The 17132-nt window shown below is 42.7% G+C and overlaps 1 protein-coding gene and 1 long non-coding RNA gene across 12 annotated transcripts in view, besides 2 other annotated features; one reads left to right on the top strand and one right to left on the bottom strand.

Moving 5' to 3' along the window:
- Positions 1 to 17132, bottom strand: part of TSHZ2 (teashirt zinc finger homeobox 2) — a 522973-nt gene that overhangs the window by 30413 nt on the left and 475428 nt on the right. The window lies entirely within an intron of this gene.
- Positions 1 to 17132, top strand: part of TSHZ2-AS1 (TSHZ2 antisense RNA 1) — a 72348-nt gene that overhangs the window by 39401 nt on the left and 15815 nt on the right. The window contains exons 2-4 of one of the 2 annotated variants that reach the window (NR_187667.1): positions 3314 to 3449; positions 9478 to 9662; positions 11810 to 11981. This is a non-coding gene — a long non-coding RNA (TSHZ2 antisense RNA 1). The remainder of the gene's footprint in view (positions 1 to 3313; positions 3450 to 9477; positions 9663 to 11809; positions 11982 to 17132) is intronic. The other variant, NR_187666.1, reaches the window with a different exon arrangement.
- Positions 3160 to 3737: an enhancer, noted in NCBI's record as "NANOG-H3K27ac-H3K4me1 hESC enhancer chr20:52077720-52078297 (GRCh37/hg19 assembly coordinates)". NCBI's record gives its function as "activates a minimal SCP1, AML or CMV promoter by ChIP-STARR-seq in primed H9 embryonic stem cells {active_cell/tissue: H9 hESC(primed)}" and the evidence as "EXISTENCE:reporter gene assay evidence [ECO:0000049][PMID:30033119]".
- Positions 3738 to 4316: an enhancer, noted in NCBI's record as "NANOG-H3K27ac-H3K4me1 hESC enhancer chr20:52077141-52077719 (GRCh37/hg19 assembly coordinates)". NCBI's record gives its function as "activates a minimal SCP1, AML or CMV promoter by ChIP-STARR-seq in primed H9 embryonic stem cells {active_cell/tissue: H9 hESC(primed)}" and the evidence as "EXISTENCE:reporter gene assay evidence [ECO:0000049][PMID:30033119]".

Here is a 17132-nt window from a genome sequence, read left to right as displayed (position 1 = left end):
GCTCATGCCTGTAATCCCAGTGACTTGCAAGGCTGAGGCAGGAGGATCATTTGAGCCCAGGAGTTTAAGGCTGCAGTGAGCTGTAACCACACCGTTGCCCTCCAGACTGGGCCACAGAGTGAGACTGTGTCTCTTAGAAAGAAAAATACTGACTGGGCGTGGTGGCTGACACCTGTAATCCCAGCACTTTGGGAAGCAGAGGCAGGAGGACTCTTGAGCCCAGGAGTTTGACACCAGCCTGGGTAACATAGCAAGACCCTGTCTCTACAAAAAGTAAAAAGTAAAAAAGTTAGCTGGGCATGGTGGTGTGCACCTATAGTTCCAGCTACTTGGGAGGCTGAGGTAGGAGAATCACTTGAGCTGGGAGGTAGAGGCTGCAGGGAGCCATGGTTGTACCACTGCACTCTAGCCTGCGCAATGAGAGAGAATTTGTCTCTTAGAAAAAAAAAATCCAAGCTCCTTCCCTCCTCACAGCCTTTGCTCCTGTTCTACCCCTGCCTGAAGGGCCCTTCTCACAACTCCACCTAGACAGTTCCTACTCCACATTCATCCCCTGGTTTAAAGAGCTCGTTGTCAGAAAGATCTTTTCTTCTCCTGGGATCCAGATGAGGTCCTCAGATTTCCTCTCTCTTAGATCCCTCTTGTCATGAATAATATATTGGTCTGGACGAGCACTGTTTGACATGTCTCCCCACTAGCATTCAGGTTCTAGGAGAGCAGAGGTGGGACTGTTTGTGCAACAGTCTCCAGAGTTGCCACCATGGCTCCTGGTCCATGGCTGTCACTTGGTGAAGACAGGTGAACTTTTCTGTTGACTTGGCCCATTGCTCTACCTTGATAGAATCATCAGAATGAAAGTAAAGGGTCTTCAGGCATCCTTTCTCCCCTACCATTTTGCGGGTGGTGACATGGAGGCTCAGGCTTACGCACTGGATGGCAATGATGGCGGTAATAATGGGAAACACCTGCTATTCAGCACTTCGGTCCATTGTCGATAGGGAGCCTGTGTTTTACCAATTATATCTTATTTAATCCTCAAGATAGAGGAGGAAATCAAGGCTCAGAGATGTTAAGCAACTTGACCAAGTTCACACCTAATAAGTGACTCAGAGATGTCCAGCTGAGGCTCCCGCCTCTAAGCAGATTCTGTCACTTGGCCCCACTCCAGGTAGGAGTCACCTGTGGATGCCTGGGCCCTACTCCCCAAGGTTTTGCCTTGACTAGTCCAGGGTATGACTTGGGCCCGGGGTTTTTAAAAGTTCCTCAGGGGATTCTAATGCACTACCAAGATTGAGAACTACTGCTCTCAGATAGGATTCATTTATTCACTTATTTCTACCATTTAATCAGTTAATCCTTCTTTCAGAGACATGGTAGAACACATAACTTCTATAATTCTACGACATTCCTCTCTTCCTTCTCTCTTTCTTTCCTCTCCCTACCCCCTAAGCCAACCTTCCTTCCTTCCTTCCCTCCCTCCCTCCTTCCTTCCTTCCTTCCTTCCTTCCTTCCTTCCTTCCTTCCTTCCTTCCTTCCTCTCTCTCTCTGTCTTTCAAGACAGGGGTCTCCCTATGTTGCCAGGCTAGTCTCAAACTCCTAGGCTCATGGGCTCATGTGATTCTCCTGTCTCTACCCAAAGTGCTAAGATTGCAGGCATCAGCCACTGCACCCAATCCTAAAACTGCATTTCTAGATAGACTAAGTTCCTTCACAAGCATACACAAATATTTATTTTAGAAGTGCAGTGCACCACTGCATATAAAGGCAGCAAATCTTATGTACAATCCAGAGCCAAAGTGGTCTAGTTGTACAAGACCTTTGAGTCCCTGGGCTCTGTTGATTTATTTGCATTTCAGTGATAACAACAATAGCTGTTATCAGTTATTGTGGACTTACCTTATACCAGGCATTGTGTGAGGCACTTTACATGAACAGAGAGGCCCCCACAACAAAAGGGAGATGGGGATGATCAGCATGACCATTATGCAGAAGGGTCAACTGGCTCATGGGACCACAAGTAGTTGGGGTCACTATGGTTATTAGAGGTGGAACCTGGATTTGGATCCCTTTTTACTTGCTCCCATCACCCCTGCCCCTTAACCACTGGCTCATGTGACCTCCTGGTGGAAGCTTCCAAGCATGTGTTCTGCCATCCTATTTGTGCACTGCAGAAACATGGAACCAGGCTTTCTTTCTCAAAGTAATTCAAGGCTTTCCTCCACCCCCAAATCAGCTGTTGAGCAGCTATGATATGTATTTTAAATGCTTTCCTTATAACATTTACTAGAAAATGTTCAGTCCTCCCAAGCACAGCCATAAATGAAGCTAAATGAAGTTAATGGGAAGCTTGCGTAGAAGGTTCCCATAGCTACAAGCTGCTCCTTCTGAAGCCAGGGCTGGGGCAGGGTGGCAGTAGGGAAGGTAAAGGAATAACAACAAAAGCTTTATTGACCAACAGCGTGGAGGCCAGTGTTGTGGGTATGAATTGTGTCCCCACCGAATTCTTACATTGAAGCCCTAAGCCCCAGCACCTCTGAATGTGACTGCCTGGACACAGAATCTTTAAAGAAGTAATTAAGTAAACATGAGGCTGTTAAGATGGGCCCTAATCCAATCTGACTGGTGTCCTTATAAGAAAATGAATTTTTGTTTTGTTTTGTTTTTGAGACAGGGTTTTGCAGTGTCACCCAGGCTGGAGTACAATGGCACAGTCTTGGCTCACTGCAACCTCCGCCTCCCAGGTTCAAGTGATTCTTCCACCTCAACCTCCCAAGCAGCTGAGATTACAGGTGCCCGCCACCATGCCCTGCTAGTTTTTTTTCTTTTTTTCTTTTTTTTTTGTATTTTTAGTAGAGACAGGGTTTCTTTATGTTGGCCAGGCTGGTCTCGAACTCCTGACCTCAAGTGATCCGCCTTCCTTGGCCTCCCAAAGTGTTGGGATTACAGGCATGAGCCACTGCTCCTGGGCCATAGCTCTCTTTTAGAATTCAGTTTTGAATAGGTTTACCAATGTGTTTGGGAAAGAAAATCCCCTAGATGTTTCAAAAAGAGTTTGTTGGAAATTGTCACCTCCATAACTTACATCTCTTACTGAGCAGAACTAGCTTCCTGGTAACCATGAAGTAATTAATGAAGAAGAGCAATCTCAGATGTTAATTTTAGACCAGAAGAAGGACTTTAAAAGAGCTTCTCAGAAGAGAATGGGATGTAGAAATTTCCAACAAGGGCATGCAGGAGTGTGTGTCTGAGAGAGTCTTTTTGGAACTTCTTACTCTCATTTATATTCATCTGTTTTATATATTGGGTACTGTAGAAGATTTTATCTGAAAAACATATTCAACTGTGACAGGAGGGGGAGGAGCCAAGATGGCCGAATAGGAACAGCTCCGGTCTACAGCTCCCAGCCTGAGCGACGCAGAAGACGGGTGATTTCTGCATTTCCATCTGAGGTACTGGGTTCATCTCACTAGGGAGTGCCAGACAGTGGGCGCAGGTCAGTGGGTGCGCACACCGTGCGCCAGCCAAAGCAGGGCGAGGCATTGCCTCACTTGGGAAGCGCAAGGGGTCAGGGAGTTCCCTTTCCTAATCAAAGAAAAGGGTGACGGACGCACCTGGAAATCGGGTCACTCCCACCCGAATACAGCGCTTTTCTGACGGGCTTAAAAAACGGCGCACCAGGAGATTATATCCCGCACCTGGCTCGGAGGGTCCTACGCCCATGGAGTCTCGCTGATTGCTAGCACAGCAGTCTGAGATCAAACTGCAAGGCGGCAGCGAGGCTGGGGGAGGGGCGCCCGCCATTGCCCAGGCTTGCTTAGGTAAACAAAGCAGCCGGGAAGCTCGAACTGGGTGGAGCCCACCACAGCTCAAGGAGGCCTGCCTGCCTCTGTAGGCTCCACCTCTGGGGGCAGGGCACAGACAAACAAAAAGACAGCAGTAACCTCTGAAGACTTAAATGTCCCTGTCTGACAGCTTTGAAGAGAGCAGTGGTTCTCCCAGTACGCAGCTGGAGATCTGAGAACGGGCAGATTGCCTCCTCAAGTGGGTCCCTGACCCCCGAGCAGCCTAACTGGGAGGCACCCCCCAGCAGGGGCACACTGACACCTCACACGGCAGGGTATTCCAACAGACCTGTGGCTGAGGGTCCTGTCTGTTAGAAGGAAAACTAACAAACAGAAAGGACATCCACACCAAAAACCCATCTGTACATCACCATCATCAAAGACCAAAAGGAGATAAAACCACAAAGATGGGGAAAAAACAGAACAGAAAAACTGGAAATTCTAAAAAGCAGAGCGCCTCTCCTCCTCCAAAGGAACGCAGCTCCTCACCAGCAACGGAACAAAGCTGGACGGAGAATGACTTTGATGAGCTGAGAGAAGAAGGCTTCAGACGATCAAATTACTCTGAGCTACGGGAGGACATTCAAACCAAAGGCAAAGAAGTTGAAAACTTTGAAAAAACTTTAGAAGAATGCATAACTAGAATAACCAATACAGAGAAGTGCTTAAAGGAGCTGATGGAGCTGAAAACCAAGGCTGGAGAACTACGTGAAGAATGCAGAAGCCTCAGGAGCCGATGCGATCAACTGGAAGAAAGGGTATCAGCGATGGAAGATGAAATGAAGCGAGAAGGGAAGTTTAGAGAAAAAAGAATAAAAAGAAATGAGCACAGCCTCCAAGAAATATGGGACTATGCGAAAAGACCAAATCTACGTCTGATTGGTGTACCTGAAAGTGATGGGGAGAATGGAACCAAGTTGGAAAACACTCTGCAGGATATTATCCAGGAGAACTTCCCCAATCTAGCAAGGCAGGCCAACGTTCAGCTTCAGGAAATACAGAGAACGCCACAAAGATACTCCTTGAGAAGAGCAACTCCAAGACACATAATTGTCAGATTCACCAGAGTTGAAATGAAGGAAAAAATGTTAAGGGCAGCCAGAGAGAAAGGTCGGGTTACCCTCAAAGGGAAGCCCATCAGACTAACAGTGGATCTCTCGGCAGAAACCCTACAAGCCAGAAAGAGTGGGGGCCAATATTCAACATTCTTAAAGAAAAGAATTTTCAACCCAGAATTTCATATCCAGCCAAACTAAGCTTCATAAGTGAAGGAGAAATAAAATACTTTACAGACAAGCAAATGCTGAGAGATTTTGTCACCACCAGGCCTGCCCTAAAAGAGCTCCTGAAGGAAGCGCTAAACATGGAAAAGAACAACCGGTACCAGCCGCTGCAAAATCATGCCAAAATGTAAAGACCATCCAGACTAGGAAGAAACTGCATCAACTAACGAGCAAAATCACCAGCTAACATCATAATGACAGGATAAAATTCACACATAACAGTATTAACTTTAAATGTAAATGGACTAAATGCTCCAATTAAAAGACACAGACTGGCAAATTGGATAAAGAGTCAAGACCCATCAGTGTGCTGTATTCAGGAAACCCATCTCAAGTGCAGAGACACACATAGGCTCAAAATAAAAGGATGGAGGAAGATCTACCAAGCAAATGGAAAACAAAAAAAGGCAGGGGTTGCAATCCTGGTCTCTGATAAAACAGACTTTAAACCAACAAAGATCAAAAGAGACAAAGAAGGCCATTACATAATGGTAAAGGGATCAATTGAACAAGAAGAGCTAACTATCCTAAATATATATGCACCCAATACAGGAGCACCCAGATTCATAAAGCATGTCCTGAGTGACCTACAAAGAGACTTAGACTCCCACACGTTAATAATGCGAGTCTTTAACACCCCACTGTCAACATTAGACAGATCAATGAGACAGAAAGTCAACACCCAGGAATTGAACTCAGCTCTGTACCAAGCGGACCTAATAGACATCTACAGGACTCTCCACCCCAAATCAACAGAATATATATTTTTTTCAGCACCGCACCACACCTATTCCAAAATTGACCACATACTTGGAAGTAAAGCTCTCCTCAGCAAATGTAAAAGAACAGAAATTGTAACAAACTATCTCTCAGACCACAGTGCAATCAAACTAGAACTCAGGATTAAGAATCTCACTCAAAACCGCTCAACTACATGGAAACTGAACAACCTGCTCCTGAATGACTACTGGGTACATAACGAAATGAAGGCAGAAATGAAGATGTTCTTTGAAACCAACGAGAACAAAGACACAACATACCAGAATCTCTGGGACGCATTCAAAGCAGTGTGTAGAGGGAAATTTATAGCACTAAATGCTCACAAGAGAAAGCAGGAAAGATCCAAAATTGACACCCTAACATCACAATTAAAAGAACTAGAAAAGCAAGAGCAAACACATTCAAAAGCTAGCAGAAGGCAAGAAATAACTAAAATCAGAGCAGAACTGAAGGAAATAATAGAGACACAAAAAACCCTTCAAAAAACTAGTGAATCCAGGAGCTGGTTTTTTGAAAGGATCAACAAAATTGATAGACTGCTAGCAAGACTAATAAAGAAAAAAAGAGAGAAGAATCAAATAGATGTAATAAAAAATGACAAAGGGGATATCACCACTGATCCCACAGAAATACAAACTACCATCAGAGAATACTACAAACACCTCTACACAAATAAACTAGAAAATCTAGAAGAAATGGATAAATTCCTCGACACATACACTCTCCCAAGACTAAACCAGGAAGAAGTTGAATCTCTGAATAGACCAATAACAGGAGCTGAAATTGTGGCAATAATCAATAGCTTACCAACCAAAAAGAGTCCAGGACCAGATGGATTCACAGCCGAATTCTACCAGAGGTACAAGGAGGAACTGGTACCATTCCTTCTGAAACTATTCCAATCAATAGAAAAACAGGGAATCCTCCCTAACTCATTTTATGAGGCCAGCATCATTCTGATACCAAAGCCGGGCAGAGACTCAACCAAAAAAGAGAATTTTAGACCAATATCCTTGATGAACATTGATGCAAAAATCCTCAATAAAATACTGGCAAAACGAATCCAGCAGCACATCAAAAAGCTTATCCACCATGATCAAGTGGGCTTCATCCCTGGGATGCAAGGCTGGTTCAATATAGGCAAATCAATAAGTGTAATCCAGCATATAAACAGAGCCAAAGACAAAAACCACATGATTATCTCAATAGATGCAGAGAAGGCCTTTGACAAAATTCAACAACCTTTCATGCTAAAAACTCTCAATAAATTAGGTATTGATGGGACATATTTCAAAATAATAAGAGCTATCTATGACAAACCCACAGCCAATATCATACTGAATGGGCAAAAACTGGAAGCATTCCCTTTGAAAACTGGCACAAGACAGGGATGCCCTCTGTCACCACTCCTATTCAACATAGTGTTGGAAGTTCTGGCCAGGGCAATTAGGCAGGAGAAGGAAATAAAGGGTATTCAATTAGGAAAAGAGGAAGTCAAATTGTCCCTGTTTGCAGATGACATGATTGTATATCTAGAAAACCCCATTGTCTCAGCCCAAAATCTCCTTAAGCTGATAAGCAACTTCAGCAAAGTCTCAGGATACAAAATCAATGTGCAAAAATCACAAGCATTCCTATACACCAACAACAGACAAACAGAGAGCCAAATCATGAGTGAACTCCCATTCACAATTGCTTCAAAGAGAATAAAATACCTAGGAATCCAACTTACAAGGGATGTGAAGGACCTCTTCAAGGAGAACTACAAACTGCTGCTCAAAGAAATAAAAGAGGATACAAACAACTGGAAGAACATTCCATGCTCATGGGTAGGAAGAATCAATATCGTGAAAATGGCCATACTGCCCAAGGTAATTTACAGATTCAATGCCATCCCCATCAAGCTACCAATGCCTTTCTTCACAGAATTGGAAAAAACTACTTTAAAGTTCATATGGAACCAAAAAAGAGCCCGCATCGCCAAGGCAATCCTAAGCCAAAAGAACAAAGCTGGAGGCATCACACTACCTGACTTCAAACTATACTACAAGGCTACAGTAACCAAAACAGCATGGTACTGGTACCAAAACAGAGATATAGATCAATGGAACAGAACAGAGCCCTCAGAAATAATGCCGCATATCTACAACTATCTGATCTTTGACAAACCTGAGAAAAACAAGCAATGGGGAAAGGATTCCCTGTTTAATAAATGGTGCTGGGAAAACTGGCTAGCCATATGTAGAAAGCTGAAACTGGATCCCTTCCTTACACCTTATACAAAAATCAATTCAAGATGGATTAAAGACTTAAACGTTAGACCTAAAACCATAAAAACCCTAGAAGAAAACCTAGGCTTTACCATTCAGGACATAGGCATGGGCAAGGACTTCATGTCTAAAACACCAAAAGCAAAGGCAACAAAAGACAAAATTTACAAATGGGATCTAATTAAACTAAAGAGCTTCTGCACAGCAAAAGAAACTACCATCAGAGTGAACAGGCAACCTACAAAATGGGAGAAAATTTTCACAACCTACTCATCTGACAAAGGGCTAATATCCAGAATCTACAATGAACTCAAACAAATTTACAAGAAAAAAACAACCCCATCAAAAAGTGGGCGAAGGACATGAACAGACACTTCTCAAAAGAAGACATTTATGCAGCCAAAAAACACATGAAAAAATGCTCATCATCACTGGCCATCAGAGAAATGCAAATCAAAACCACAATGAGATACCATTTCACACCAGTTAGAATGGCAATCATTAAAAAGTCAGGAAACAACAGGTGCTGGAGAGGATGTGGAGAAATAGGAACACTTTTACACTGTTGGTGGGACTGTAAACTAGTTCAACCATTGTGGGAGTCAGTGTGGCGATTCCTCAGGGATCTAGAACTAGAAATACCATTTGACCCAGCCATCCCATTACTGGGTATGTACCCAAAGGACTATAAATCATGCTGCTATAAAGACACATGCACACATATGTTTATTGTGGCATTATTCACAATAGCAAAGACTTGGAACCAACCCAAATGTCCAACAATGATAGACTGGATTAAGAAAATGTGGCACATATACACCATGGAATACTATGCAGCCGTAAAAAATGATGAGTTCATGTCCTTTGTAGGGACATGGATGAAATTGGAAACCATCATTCTCAGTAAACTATCGCAAGAACAAAAAACCAAACACTGCATATTCTCACTCATAGGTGGGAATTGAACAATGAGATCACATGGACACAGGAAGGGGAACATCACACTCTGGGGACTGTTGTGGGGTGGGGCGGGGGAGGGATAGCATTGGGAGATATACCTAATGCTAGATGACGAGTTAGTGGGTGCAGCACACCAGCATGGCACATGTATACGTATGTAACTAACCTGCACAATGTGCACATGTACCCTAAAACTTAAAGTATAATAATAATAAAAAAAGAAAAACATATTCAACTGCTACTAAAATTATTAGTATACATTTATGAAATAATAATGCCCGATGACCACTAGACCAGGTGAAGTAGCAAAACTTTGTGTATTTTTTGCTCTTGACTTACCAGTGAACATAGATTCCTTCAGTAAATATTGGGAAAACATTTGCTTCAGGCCCATTACTGGGTACCGCTTTGATACAGAGGACACACCAAGGAACAAGACAGATAGGACCTCTGCCTCTGGTAAGTTTGCATTCCAGAGGGAGGAGAAGACAATAAGCAAGCAAGCCATCAAGACCACGTCAGATGAGGTGAGTGCTGTGAAGACCGTAAGCAGGGTGATGGGACTGAGTGGTGCAGGTGTGGGCATCGTTACTGAAAGGCCAGGGGTTTGGTCTAGGTCCTACTGCTCGCCACACATAACGCCAACCACTGAGACAACAAGTATTGCCAGAGAAAAAGGCTTTAATCAGGTGCTGCAGCTCAGGAGATGGGAGGTCAATCTCATCTATCTCTCCAACTGACAAGAAATAAGGGTTTTATATAGCAGGGAAGAAATATAACTACATGAAGGAAAACAGGAATTAGGGAGTGGTAAGAAAGAGAATTTGGTCAACATGAAGTGGGTGGTCGCTCAGGCAGTCATAATGGGTGAGAGGTCTTCTGTCTCATTGTTCAGATGTGGTGATCTGGTAAGTTTCAGTTCCTTGATACTGTCTGCAAGGCCTGAGGGTAGGTTTCCAGAGAAAGGAGCTCAGATAAGACAAATGAAACTTTCTCAAATTGACTGGGAGAGTCAATTTCTATGTTTACTCAAAAGAAACCATAACCATCCATTCTATGGGACAATTGGGAGGGTTTCAGTTCTGATGGGGCTACTTTGAGAAAGGGGAGAGGGAGCCCTCTCTGAGGGAGTGACATCTGAATGAAGACCTGAAGGATGGGAAAGGGACAGCCACATTAACACATTTAACATTAGTTTTTAAAGACTTTTTTTTTTTTTTTGAGACCAAGTTTCACTCTGTCACCCAGGCTGGAGTGCAGTGGTACGATCTCAGCTCACTGCAACCTCCACCTCCTGGGTTCAAGTGATTCTTCTGTCTCAGCCTCCCGAGTAGCTGGGACTACAGGCACGTGCCACCATGCCCGGCTAATTTTTGTATTTTTAGTAAAGATGGGGTGTCACCATATTGGCCAGGCTGGTCTCAAAATCCTGACCTCGTGATCTGCCTGCCTTGGCCTCCCAAAGTGCTGGGATTACAGGTGTGAGCCACCACGCCTGGCCTTTAAAGACATTTTAAAGGGCTCCACGGGTTTCATCAGACAGCCAAAGAAGTCCACAGCCTAAGACAGTTAAGCAGTTTTGTGGCCTAAAGAAACCAAGGGTCCTCTAAGTCTAGCAGTTCTTAATCTTGGATGAGCATCACAGAAAGGTTGGTGAAGCCTGGAATTTTCAGTAGCAATTGTCACTCAAGTTGTTTAAGTTTATGGCAAAGACAAGAGATGACATTGTAAGCAGAATTTAGCATTTTGGTGCATGTGTGTATATGAAGTTATAGGTAGACTTGATTTTCCTGGAGAGAGAATCTGTAGCTCTCATGATATTTTCAAAAAGGCTCTTGACCCAAGTAGGAGTTCAGAGCCACCATTCTAGAAGAAGAGGTCCTAGGATGGTGACTTCTTCCAAACCAGTCTGTCATTCCCAGGAATAGTCCCAAACATGTAGCCTGATTACTGTTTGGAGAATTCCATTTCTCTGGGCATCCCTCTCCTACCCTGGCCTATTTTCAAGCAAATCTAAAGCTTCGAGTTTGTCCAAAATCAAGAAGATTTCCTACAAGAGGCTAAATGAGTGGTCACAGAAATGTTTGTATGAAGGATTCCCCCAATATCTGCTTTTATGTGAGAAGGGAGAGCCAGCGGCTCCCTACGTTAATCTTCATTATCACATAAGTGGCTTTTCCCCTCCTGGTTTTAAATTAAGATACCCTGGACATTTTGCTTTGCTTCCACTCCACACACAATCACACGATGGAGCATTGTAATTAAACCTCCTCTATTATTAGAGCACAGGAAAAAAAAATTCATGGCTGGTCTGAAGGACCCCAAGCTAGGAAAGAGAAAGGTAAACATTTAATTTGTTGTTGTTTCTATAAATCAGGGCCCAGTCATCAATTTCACCACATATTTGAGAGCACATGTTATTGACAATGTGTTCGTAGAGAAAAATGGAGTTTGCTGGCAAAGTTGTTCCAGTTTCTAAAGATTAAATTGTTCATTGTACAGGCCGCCATCTGCCCTCCCTGGAAGATATTTAGTTGTTGGCAGAGGCATTCAAAGTCTAGAAGACAAAGTTAAATTTCATTTTCTTTATTGCTATGCCTAACCAAAGGCGAATTCATTCATTCATTCATCAGTTCATTCAATATTTACCAAGTGTCTCTTTTGTGCCATACAGACGAATAAAGTCAGACAGCTTCCAAGGAGTGGATGCTTATGGAGAGATCACATGGAGCCTTGTAGCTGATTTATAATCTCATGGTCCTCATTCATACATCAAACCCCTGAAGGCCTGGCATTTTTATCTCCCGACTCAACCTGCATGCTACCAGAAGCTCGACAAAATTACGGTGAATAAGACATGCTTCTTCCCTTCAAGAAGCTTCTAGTCAATGGAGGATATGTAAGGCAGCAATCTAACAGCAATACAACACTAAACGTTCCTTGAGAAAAACACAAACAACAGGCAGAACTCATGTCTGAGTAGAAGCTTCTTAGAAGAACTGAGTAGAACTTGGAAGAAACATGTACCTCCTTCACACACATAATATTGTTTTATACTATGCTATCTTGTTGTAGGGGTACGTGTTGATATATAACCCCATTTTGCATGTGAAGTCAATGGGCTCAGTGGGCTCAGAGAGATACAGTGATTGATTTGTTCTAGTTCCTTTTTTTTTTTTTTTTTGAGACAGAGTCTCACTGTGTCACCCAGGCTAGAGTGCGGTGGCTCAATCTTAGCTCACTGCAGGCTCCACCTCCCAGGTTCAAGCAATTCTCTGCCTCAGCCTCCCGAGTAGCTGGGATTACAGGTACACTTTACCATGCCCAGCTAATTTTTGTATTTTTAGTACAGATGGGGTTTCACCACGTTGGCCAGGCTGGTCTTGAACTCCTGACCTCAAGTGATTTACCTGCCTCGGCCTCCCAAAGTGCTGGGACTACAGGCGTGAGCCACCACGCTTGGCCTGCTCTAGTTCTTGTAGGTAATAAGAGATGGTGTTAAATTCCTGTAACTAATAAGAGATGGGCTCAAATTCTCCCTTGAACTCTAAGTCTGGCCCCTGGGCCACATAAAGTAGGTCCTCTAAGCCCCTTACACTGTGCACAGTTCAGCCCTAAGCCACTTGCCTAGACCCATTGCATGAACTGCAGCTGAAGCTGCTCCTGTCCCCTTCATTAGTCATCTGGGGTTACTGACTTCCCTTTGTTCTTCACACTTGATGACAGCACTCTTGTCTTGCCCATGTCTTGACTATTCTTGACTATAATTTGAACCTTTATTTTCAGGCTACCCTTTCTTGAGTAACACTAAGTCTATCTAGCCTTGGATTCGACCTGCTTTCTAGGCTCTTCTCACCTGGGTTCCCCCAGACTTTACTAGCAAAACAATTCATTCATTCATTCCACAAATACCAATTGAATCTTTACTGTGTTCCTACTGTACTAAGTGGTGATCAAAATTGGAAGGATCCCAGCTTTACGGAGTTTATAGTTTAGTGAGGAAACTGACTTGGGGCAGACATTCACACACATAATAAAAATATTATAATGGAGGGAAGCATGATAGAGAAAAGTATGAAAAAGAAAAACAGGAGGTTCTAATCTAGTCTACATGTGTGCTGGTGAGTATGTTGGAGAAGAGAGACAGTGTCATGACAGGCTTCTATAAGAAGAGTTTTTACGGCAGGATCTGAAGTGTTGGATAAAACTAAGTTACCCAGATAAAGAATTAAGGAAATAGAATTCTTAAGAGAAGTCCCAAAATATCTGGTCCTGAGGCAGGAAGCAGTTTGGCTTGTTCAAGAGCTAAAAGAAAGCCAGTGTGGTTGAGGCATAGAGGCAAAATATAGCAAAGCATTCTAAGTCATTGAGGTTAGCACAGACATTGAGAATAAAATAATTATTGCTTTAGTCCAGCATATTGTGTCTCCAATAGATAAGATTTCCAAAATAGTTTGGTCCATATAATTTATAAAAATATGAGTGCTTTATTCTCTGTTGCATGAGTAGGTGTTTTAATCAGTCAACTTTGAGATCGAGAGAGTTATAAACCAGAAACTGAAAAAATTACATTATTTCGTCCTACAGAAGAATCATCATAGGGGACCCTTGTACTATGTGTAGGCTGTACAAAAACTTGAGACTGTTCTTTATCTAGAACAGGTTTTTAACAATTTTCATGAGCAACATCAACAATATGGCATGTTGGTTTGGAGTTTCAGTCAACTTTTTTCAGAAAGGTTTTCCAATCTGTTTTCCAAAGTGTGTACTTTAATCTGGGAGAGGAAGATTCATGGTCTTTTTTTTTTCCCTCTGGGCTTCTGAGACTGGAAAGTAGTATTAAGTAGAGAAAAGTGGACACTGTAAAGAGGAAACTAAATAAATCCTTAAAGCCACTACTTGGCACCTTTTGTTTTTCTTTTCCTGGCAGCCTGCATAGGTACTAGAAAGAAAAATGTGGGCCAGGAGTGGTGGATTACATGACTGTAATCCCAGCACTTTGAGAGGCCAAGGCAGGAGAATTGGTTGAGCACAGGAGTTCAAGACCAGCCTGGGCAACATGGGGAGACCTTGTCTCAAAACAAACAAACAAAAAGCCAGGTATGGTGGCACATGCCTGTAATCCCAGCTACTCAGGAGGCTGAGGCGAGAAGACTGCTTGAGCACAGAAGGTGGACTCTGAAGTGAGCCATGTTTGTTCCACTGCACTCCATCCTGGAGCTTGGGTGACAGAGCAAGGCCCTGCCTCAAAAAAATAGTGGTCTTTAGAGTCTTCTTCACAGTAAAATTAGTGATAATGCCTTATGAAATCATAAACAATAATAGAATAAAGGCAAATGGCTCATTCTTGTGGATCCTGCATGAGTTCAAGAAAAGTTAGGGACTATATACTGGCAACAAAAAGTGATCCCTGAGATTTTTGGAGCACCTCATTGCCAAAGCAATCAAAATGCTTTACACATATTCTTTCTTTTACCATCACATAATTCTTGCAATGTAGCAAAAAACTATCTAAGGATGGAAGGATGTATTTTAAAGAGGGGGAGATGGGGACATCAAAAGAGAGACCAGGCCAAAAGCACAAGCAAAATAATTAGTGGAGCAAATATGTTCAATACTACTGTGTCTCAGTTCATTTAAACAAATATTAAATGAGTAAGGCATAGCCAGTGCCTTCTATGAATCACAATTCAGCAAGAAGGTTAAGATATGTTCATTCATTGATGTATTTCTTCAATCAATAAACATTTGAGCACCTATACATATCAGGCCCTAGGCCCATTAAGAGGGTCCCACCCAGTAAGTGTATTAGCTAGATGTGGTCTCTGACCTTAGAGAACAAACTTAAAATCTGGTGAAGAAAGTAGAATGCAAAGCACATAACAAAAAGTAGATCAATGTTGCCAAAGGGAAGTAAATGGTGCTCTGGAGGCTCATGGGGGTGGTGATTAATGTGTACATAAATAATAGCATTGGGACACTCTTAATGGTGGGAGAAGCAGACCCATAAGATAGTAGTCAGTCTAATTAAAGAATCAATAAATGAATAATTAATTAACTGATGGAGGCTGAGCTAAGCCTTGAAGAAGGGGGTAGGATTTTAATATGTGAAGATGGAACAGGTAGTCCTCTGTGTGGAAAGAACAGCCAGGCAGAAGGATACAGTCTTGTTTGGGGAATAGTTGGTGAGTTCATTTAACCAACACATTGCTTAAGAGATGTGGTAGTATATTACTTACTTGTTTACTTATTTGTCTATCTTACCCACTGTAACATAAACTCAATGAGGACACGGACATTTCTTGCCTTGTTCAGTCACTGTTGACAGCCTTCAACGGTGCCTGACACATAGTGGGTGCCTCATAAATATTTGTTGAATGAGTAAATGGTAATTACCACCCATTTCATATATAATTATTGTGTGCTTACTACTTGCTATTCACTATGCTGAAAACTTTTATTTACTTATTTAATTCTCACAACAACCCAATGAGTTAGAAACTTTGGAAAGGAGAAGAGAATCTAAAGAACAGGCACAAAATATCCCAGGTATGGTTTGAACCTAGGGCTCTCTGACTCCAGGGACCACATGTTAATCATACCTTCCAGGGGTTAAGAGTGGTTACTAATATTAAAAGGGTAATCTGGAGTGATCTGGGAAGGACCACAGTAAAGTGTTGGGGGGTGATGAGTCATTAGAGACTCTGATACAGGGGAGGGACATGACTGGAGGAGTCACATAGCCTCAAGTTCCAGGTTTCTTTTCTAAAAATAGGTGATGATTATATACATCTTTTTTTTGTGTGTGGGAGAGTTGGTGATAATGTGTGCAAATTACTCAAGATGTTCTTTGTATCCATTTTTTGAGGGTTTACCAGGCCATCTGTCATCTTGCCTGGATGATCACTAATCTTTACAGCAATCTTGAAAGGTGGTTATTTTTAGTCTCCTTTTCCAGAAGAGAAATATGTGGTCCAGAGAAACATCAAATTATATGCCCCAAATCACACAGCTAGGGTAACAGGATACTGAGTTAAACCTTCTTGTTTCATGACATTTTGGGGAATGACACAAAGTTAAGGACTAAAGGAGCTGTATGCCTCCTACTTAACAGAAGCTGTCAGACACCACCTTAACCACGTGATCAAAGTTCACATCACCAGTAATAAGATAAATCAACATCAAGAAACTCCTGATATGGAAACCAGCCCAATTATCTGATAGAACTGATGTTTATGGTTTATTTTGAGGAAACACAGAAATTGACCCTCCCAGTCTTAAAACTTGAGAAAGTTACATTTGTCTTATCTGAGTTCCTTTCTCAGGAAACCAACCCTCAGGACTCCCTGATAGTATCCAGGAACTGAAACTTACCAGATCACTGCATCTGGACAATGAGACACCAGACACCTCATTCATCATGATTGCCTAAGTGACTACCTGCTTCCTGTTGACCAACTCCTCTTCCTTAACCCTCCTTAACTCCTGTTTTCCTACACATAGTTATATTTCTTCTCTGCTATATAAACCCCTAATTTTACTCAATCAGGGAGATGGATTTCAGACTGATCTCCCCTTTCCTCAGCTGCAGCACCCGATTAAAGTCTTCTTCCAGGAGGCCGAGGTGGGCGGATCACGAGGTCAGATCGAGACCATCCTGGCTAACACGGTGAAACCCCATCTCTACTAAAAATACAAAAAAGTAGCGGGGCATGGTGGCAGGTGCCTGTAGTCCCAGCTACTCGGGAGGCTGAGGCAGGAGAATGGCGTGAACCAGGGAGGCAGAGCTTGCCGTGAGCCGAGATCACGCCTCTGCACTCCAGCCTGGGCAACAGAGTGAGACTCCGTCTCAAAAAAAAAAAAAAAAAAATTTCTTCTTCCCTGGCAATACTCACTGTCTTGGTGATTTGGCTTTAATTTGCAGTGAGCAACAGGACACAGATGGAACCCCTGGTGTTTCAGTAACAATATGAGGCACCGAGGAGAGAGCACATCAT

Source organism: Homo sapiens, chromosome 20 (assembly GCF_000001405.40).
Source record: "Homo sapiens chromosome 20, GRCh38.p14 Primary Assembly".
Lineage (NCBI taxonomy): Eukaryota > Metazoa > Chordata > Mammalia > Primates > Hominidae > Homo > Homo sapiens.
Note: the sequence above shows the minus strand (reverse complement) of the source record. Positions and strands in the feature narration are given on the sequence as shown.